Raw genomic sequence first — 7,232 nt, forward strand, 5'->3', positions numbered from 1 at the left:
GTATCCGATAGGCTGGAACAGTGGAACAAACAAAACATACACGTATCTTTTACCTTCTTGATAAAATTGTTTAGTGATTCCTAAAGCTCAGATGCAGTATTGTCACCTGATGATTAAACAGACACATCAGCAATAGCAAAAACAGAGTCCAGGGCTCAGCCTCAGGACTGCTGATTCTGAACTTGACGGGGTGAAAGTGTAGCACAGGAGTCTGCATTAAAAACAAAAATCTGGCCTCATAGCTACTGTGTTGGTTGTTGCTTCTAGGCCTTTTCAGTGGGCAGAATAAGAACTTTATTGTTTTCAAAAGATGTAACTGTAAGTGGAACAATATCCTCCGATCCTCCTTTTTCCTTTTTTGATAACGACACAGCATTCCTCTGTGTGGATATACCGTGTGTCTTAGGCCATTTGGGCTGCTATTTTGTATCTTAGACTGGGTAACTTATAAACAACAAACATTTATTTCTTACAGTACTAGAGGCTGGGAAGTCCAAGATCAAGGCATTGGCAGATTTGGGGTCTGGCGAGGACTTGCTGTCTGCTTCATAGATGGTGCCACCTAGCTGTGTCCCCACAAGGCGGAAAGGGGCAAACAAGTTCCCTCAGGCCACTCTTACGGGGCATTAATCCCTGACTTAATCACCTCCTAAAAAGGGTGTCCTCTTGACACTATCACATTATGGATTAGGGTTCAACCTATGAATTACGTAGGCACAGACACATTCAGATCCTGGCACTACATGTAGGATATTCAGTTAGCCCCTGGTTGAGGGGCGTTTGTGTTGTTACTGGTTTTCTGCTATTACACATAACCCTTTAATGAATTGCCTTACGCATGCATGTTTTTGAGTGTTCGTCAGTCTCTCTTTGGAATAGACTCCCAGAAGTGGAATTGCTGAGTCAAAGGGTAAATGCATACGGAATTTTGATTGATACGGCCACTTCCCATCCATGGGGGTTTTACTGTTTTATATTCCCGCCAGCAGTGAATGAGTACCCTTTTTTCCCCAACAGAGTATTTTGTCAAATTTTTCAATTTTTGCAGGCTTATAGATGAGAAGTGATATTATCTCACTGTACTTCTAATTGCATTTCTCTCTTTTCATGTGGTTAAGAGCCATTTGTATTTTCTGTGAACTATTTAACCTATTTTTCTATAGAATTTTTGGTCTTTTTCAACCATTTTCAGCTCTTTGTATACTAGGAATATTAACCCTTTGTAATGTTTGTTGTACATATTTTTCCCAATTTGTCATTTATCTTTTCACTTGGTTTCTGCAAAGATTTACTTTATTTCTGTGTTAAATGTGTTGATTTTTTCTTATTGCTTCTGGATTTTAGAGTCATAGGAAGGTTTTCTTCATTCCCAGCTTTTACAGGAATTTATCGTGTTTTTTTCAGGCAGACTTTTATAGTTTCTGTTTTTACATTTAAATCTCTCTATCCATTTGGAGTTTTTCCTGGTATAGATGTGAAGTATGGCTCCAGATTGTCTTTTTCCACATGCTATCCAGTTACCATTTCATGCTTTTCAAACGCCATCCTGCATGGAAGGTGGACAGGAATTACCTTTCATTTAGAGATGAGAAGATGGGAACCTAGAAGGAGATGTGAGCAGCCCAAGGTCACCAGCTCACGTGGAGCAGTGCTAGGGCTTGAGCAGAGCTCTGCTGCTGATTCTGGGCTTCTGTGAAGAGTGATTCATGCTCAGTGAGCCTGTAAATATGATCTTACCTGAACAAGAGAGTTTTTCTCATGACCCACGAGGAAACACTTCCTTGTTACTCACAGTAGAGACCTGGTTAGAAAGTGCTGGAGAGGGCTAGGTGTGGTGGCTCACGCCTGTAATCCCAGCATTTTAGGAGGCTGAGGTGGGCAGATCATTTGAGGTCAGGAGTTCGAGACCAGCCTGGGCAATGTGGTGAAAGTGAAACCCCATCTCTGCTAACAATACAAACATTAGCCAGGCGTGGTAGCACGCACCTGTAATCCCAGCTACTCGAGAGGCTGTGGCAGGAGAATTGTGAACCTGGGATGCAGAGTTTGTAGTGAGCTAAGATAGCCCCAGTGCACTCCAGCCTGGGCGACAGAGCAAGACTGTCTCAAAAAAAAAAAAAAAAAAGAAAGTGCCAGAAAGATAAGCATATACAAGAACCACTTACCTTTGCTTGGGGCTGCATTGTGGCCCAGTTGCTGGGAGAGGCTTCTGTGAAGGCCGTTGATAGCTGCAGGCAGTGACATTCTCAGGGGCCCCTAGCAGACAACTCATCCGGGCTCAGGGACACACCTGGGAGCCAGTGGCAGGAATGTGGAGACACTGCTTGGTGGTGGCCGAGCAGCCCAGCCTCGTAGCTGCTGCCTGTCACTTCTGAGAATGTAAGAAACTGTGCCCTGGTGTGTGATGTTCCCCTTCCTGTATACCTATGTAACTAACCTGCACATTGTGCACATATATCCTAAAACTTAAAGTATAATTAAAAAAAAAAAAAAAAGCTGTGCCTGCTGGGGCTTGGATTCCCGAGCAGGGCCAAGTGTTGAATGAAGAGAGCGCCCACTCTGTGCCACCCCGTACAGGGCCCTCACAGGTTGATCCTCACAACAAGCCTTCAAGCAGGTGTGCCATTCCTCCCATTTTCACAGAAGCCCAGAAAGATTGAGTCACTTACTGAGTGTTAGCAGAACCAGGACTCAAGTGAGGCAGTTTGTCTCAAGCCACATGGTTTCCACCTCGTTCTGCCCTCCGCGTGATGAGTGGCTCAGCATTGCATGTTCACGGGGGCTTTGTAAGCACATTGGTTTCCTTCTTTGTTGATGTGACTGCCCACAGCCTCGCGACTGGATTTTACTCAGTATTCCATGCCCTGCTGAGCATTTCACATACTCCTTTCATCAAGTTTCACAGCATCCACCCCCAGTGGGTGTTGTTCATATGATCTCCATGTCATAGTTGAGTAAACTGAGTCTCAACGTGGTTGCCTGAGTTTACCCAGTGAGGCCTGGGACCTGAGCCTAGACTGAATCACTCTTAATTCCTGCTGAATTAAACTTTTATTTATTTATTCATTATTATTTTTTTCTGAGACAGAGTCTTGCTTTGTTGCCCCTGCTGGAGTGCAGTGGCACGATCTTGGCCCACTGCAACCTCTGCGTCCCGGGTTCAAGTGATTCTCACCTCCTGAGTAGCTGGAATTACAGGCATGCACCACCACTTCTGGCTAATTTTGTATTTTTATAGAGACGGGGTTTCACCATGCTGGCCAGGCTGTTCTCAAACTCCTGACCTCAGGTGATCTGCCCACCTCAGCCTCCCAAAGTGCTGGGATTACAGGCGTGAGCCACTGCACCTGGCCTGAATTAAACTTTTAAGTAAGTGTTTACTTCAGTGGAAAAATGGGTTGGGTTCTAAGAGATGTCCAGAGATACAGGAGTAGGCAGTTGTTGATGGAAATCTGTTCCTGCCCTTATTCTTTCATTTATGAAAGGGCATCCCAGGTACAGCGGCCCCCACAGTCACTCTCTAGCCCAGCAGTTCTCGGATGGGTTGGTTGCAGGACCCCTTTATACTGTTAAAAATTATTGAGGATTTTAAAGAGTTTGAGTTTGCATGGATTATCTCTGTGTATATTTATCATATTAGTAATTAAAACCGAGATGTTGAAAACGCAAGAACTCACAAGCTACACATTCCGTTAGCTGTGGGCGTGATGACATCAGGGTGCGTAGTCTCTGGAAAAGTCCACTGTGTGCTTGCGAATGAAAGAGGGCGGAAAAGGCACATCACATCTTACTATTGGCTGAAAATAGCTGTGGCCTCGGGAACCTCTGCGAGAGGAGTCCCGGTATCCTACACTGAGAACACTGCTCTGGCTCATTAACTTGTTTTTATCATTATTGGGAAGTTCTCCTTCCATTTATTTGCTTCCTTTATGAGAGTAGAGTGGGCCAATGGGATATAGGTTCACTTGATGCTTTAGAACCCAGCATTTCAGGGGCTTTAGCAAGATGGAAATGTCTGTCTCATGTCAAGTGTCCAGGAGTGACCAGTGCAGAGATAGTCTGGTAGCTCCAAGGCGTCAGGGGACCCAGGCCCCTTCTGTCTCATTGTGCTGTTCCAGTGCATTGCTTTTCTCCAAAATGGGGCAATTGGCCAAATGCTGTCTACCCAGCAAAAGGGAGGGCACACCACTTCCCTAGGGTCCAGCCAGGGTGTGGCACTTACCGCTTCTGTTCCTGTACCATTGGCCAAAATTTAGTTCCAGGGCTGCGCCTGCTGCAGGGAAGGCTGGAAAAGGTGATCTATATTGTCGGTGGCCCAGATAAAAGTTGGGGGTTCTATTGGGAGAAAGGGAGAATGGCCACAGGGATGCTAGTAGCAGTGCCTGCTTTGCTTCCTCACTAGACCGTACTGGCTGGGAATAGCTGCCCATCACTGTGTGCCCTGGGTCTAGAACTGTAGGTTCTTGATACATCCTTGTAGGACTAAGTCCCTGCATGTTGCTGGGACTCAACAAACTGAGACCCAGTTGCTTTTCAACCACCAAGACTCTCTGATAGCTGCATCTCTTCATTTCCTCAGTTGGGAGGAGGGTCCAGAGGCTGAGGAATGCCTTGTCATTGGAATCTCTTTGTCCCTGAGTTTCAGAAGCAAATAGTGAAGCTTTGGGCAGAAGAGGATTCATGGGAAAATACATCCAAATCACTTTGGTTCCTTCCTTTGGATAGAAGGAATTTGGATCATGAGGGCCCCTGGGTGTCCTCAAGTGGCCACTTTGGAAGGCTGGGTGGGTGGTGGCTGTGGCATTGTGGATGATGGACAAGCTTGTGGCCTTGGTGAGGAGTGATGGGGCTCTCGGTGTTTGCAGAGGAAGCTGCCTGAACAGGACATCGCACAAGGATCCTACATTGCCCTGCCATTGACGCTGCTGGTTCTGCTGGCCGGTTACAACCATGACAAGGTAGGAAATCCAGAGGCCTCAGGAGATGGCGGGCATGTCAGGGAGAGCGAGTCCTCACAGCTGCAGGAGTGATAGCAGAGGGATGTCCAGGGTCACAGAAATCACATTTCCCGGTCGGGAGGGCCCGTGAAGGCCTCAAGTCCAGACTTAGGTCTCCTTTCAAGGCTGTAAACTTCTGTAACATCTCCTAATCCTTAAACCTGGAACACCTCTAGGGACATATTAGGCCCGGAGAGAGGCCAGCCCATCCCTGGGGACTCATTAGTAAGAGGCCTGCCTCGTTTGAACTGAAACCCACCCATTAGCACGTGGCAGCTGCTGATCATGTCTGAAGAAGGTGTGTTGAGAAGTGAGGCTCCGCTGTTCATCTGGCAAAAGCCTCCTCTTTGTACCCCTCTCTCTCACACTTTCTCTCTTTTCTAGCTCATTCCTTTGCTGCTGCAGTTGACAAGCCGGCTACAGGGAGTCGGCGCGCTCGGCCAGGCAGCCTCTGACAATAGCGGCCCAGAAGATGCAAAGAGACAAGCCAAGAAACAGAAGACAAGGCGGACGTGAGGAGGAAGGGGACAGTTGCAGTCTCACTTGGGACAGGCCACAGCCAGGGGTCCGGCCACTACCCGCCCGTGGGATAAAAGCCAAAAGCATGCGTCAGCTAACTTCAGCCTGTGCTGCTGGGCCCGCACCCCATGTCCCTTGTCACTGTGGCATCCTGCACCCATCCTCACCCCTCCGTAGAGCCCCTCGTGCAATGCAATGAATGGACCCTCCTGTCACTCTGCTGAACAGAATTTATTTTCTGAGTCAAATATAATTTATTATTATTTTTGTCAAAGAAGTATTTAAGCTGTGCTGTGGTGTGAGAATGTCATTCTTGATCTTCAGCCTTCGTTTGCAAGAAGAGTTCCAGTTGATGTGGTGTTTGGTTCCATGGCGGGGTACCCTAGGGATTCATCTGTTTTCTTCACTTCCCTTTGCATCTGAGATCCTGCTGGAAACCACGGCAACCTGTATCCACTATTAGGAGGTAAAAATCAATAAAATGGCCCATTCATTTGTGTTGTAGCTCATCATAGATGTATTTCTTGGATGACATGCACGTAACCCCCGGGAGTCTTCAGTTGAGCCAAATGTAGAGCAAGTCAGAGTCCTGAGTGAAGCTGGCTGGGGCAGGAAAAACACGAGCTCAGCCAACATGGTCCCCAGCAGCTTTTGGCGTCAGTGATAGAGAAATCGGAGATAGTGGAGGTTGTGGCAAGTTGAAGTGTGCCCACCACGTCTAAGGGAAGCTTAGGGACTCAGCTCTGGCTCACCCCTGCTGTGCAGAAATGTGCGTTCATTTTTCTAGAGAAGCCAGAAAAACAAAGATTTACGTGAAATTTTCCCAATTTTAAATGTTAGCCACAAATGCAGTGTTTTTTTAAGAAAACCACACACTTTGGCCAAACAAAATGCCTACGTCGGCCGGGTGAGGCTTAAAGGTTGCCGGCTTGCATCAGAGATCCAGAGGAAGTCACAGCATTTTAACAGCTAAACTTAATCCTCACAGGAAGTCATCAAGTGAATTAAGTGATATTGAAGGAGGGGACACATCCATCCATCCGACATTTATTGAGTGCCACATAGGACAGGCATGGGTATGTGAGGATGAGTAGGGTAGACAACACTCTACAGCGAGCTGGAAGAGGCCAGGGAGGCCCCGTCTGCCTTGTTCTTCGTACCCCAATGCTTGGCACTTGGTGGGCATTCAGTAAGGAATGAATGAACGCACGCACAGAGGAATGAATAGATGGGCACACAGTGTGTGCCCTCACAGCACATGGCCCATCACTGGGTAGAAGGCAAGTCAGTAAGTAGACAGGGGTAATGCAGGGAGCCGAGGGCCTCCAGGTGGAGGAACATGGAGGACCACAGGAGCACAGAGCAGAGTTCTCATCCCACTGGAGAGCTTAGGGAACTTTCTGGATGTGATGCGTGAGCAGAGTCCAAAAGGACAAAACAGAGAGAGGGAAAACAAGGTGGAAGTTCTTGTTAGGTGCCACTGCCACCCCAGGGGGTCAGCTTGGGGGACTCCCTGGCTCTTGGGGGCCAACCGCAGAGCTGCCCTGTTCCCACCTATCAGCTAGCTTGGTGTTGGCACCGTGGAAGGAAAGTGAACAGTGTTGGAGATCTGGGACAGATGTGATATTAATACAGGATCCATTTCTTGGAGTGTTTTCCAACTCTTATTCCAAGTGGACACCCAGAAACATCCCTTTTAAATGTTAATGGGGTTTT

General features: G+C 47.4%; 1 protein-coding gene across 2 annotated transcripts in view; it reads left to right on the forward strand.

Moving 5' to 3' along the window:
• The window catches only part of NOMO3 (NODAL modulator 3), a 62,284-nt gene extending 56,259 nt beyond the window's left edge, over nucleotides 1–6,025 (forward strand). The window contains exons 30-32 of one of the 2 annotated variants that reach the window (XM_005255318.2): nucleotides 4,866–4,958; nucleotides 5,382–5,509; nucleotides 5,841–6,025. In XM_005255318.2, the coding sequence (XP_005255375.1) occupies nucleotides 4,866–4,958; nucleotides 5,382–5,509; nucleotides 5,841–5,979 (360 nt within the window). In that variant the 3' untranslated portion in view covers nucleotides 5,980–6,025. Of the gene's footprint in view, nucleotides 1–4,865; nucleotides 4,959–5,381 lie in introns of both variants that reach the window. The other variant, NM_001004067.4, reaches the window with a different exon arrangement.
• Nucleotides 6,026–7,232: the final 1,207 nt, after the last annotated feature.

This window comes from Homo sapiens, chromosome 16 (assembly GCF_000001405.40).
Source record: "Homo sapiens chromosome 16, GRCh38.p14 Primary Assembly".
NCBI lineage: Eukaryota > Metazoa > Chordata > Mammalia > Primates > Hominidae > Homo > Homo sapiens.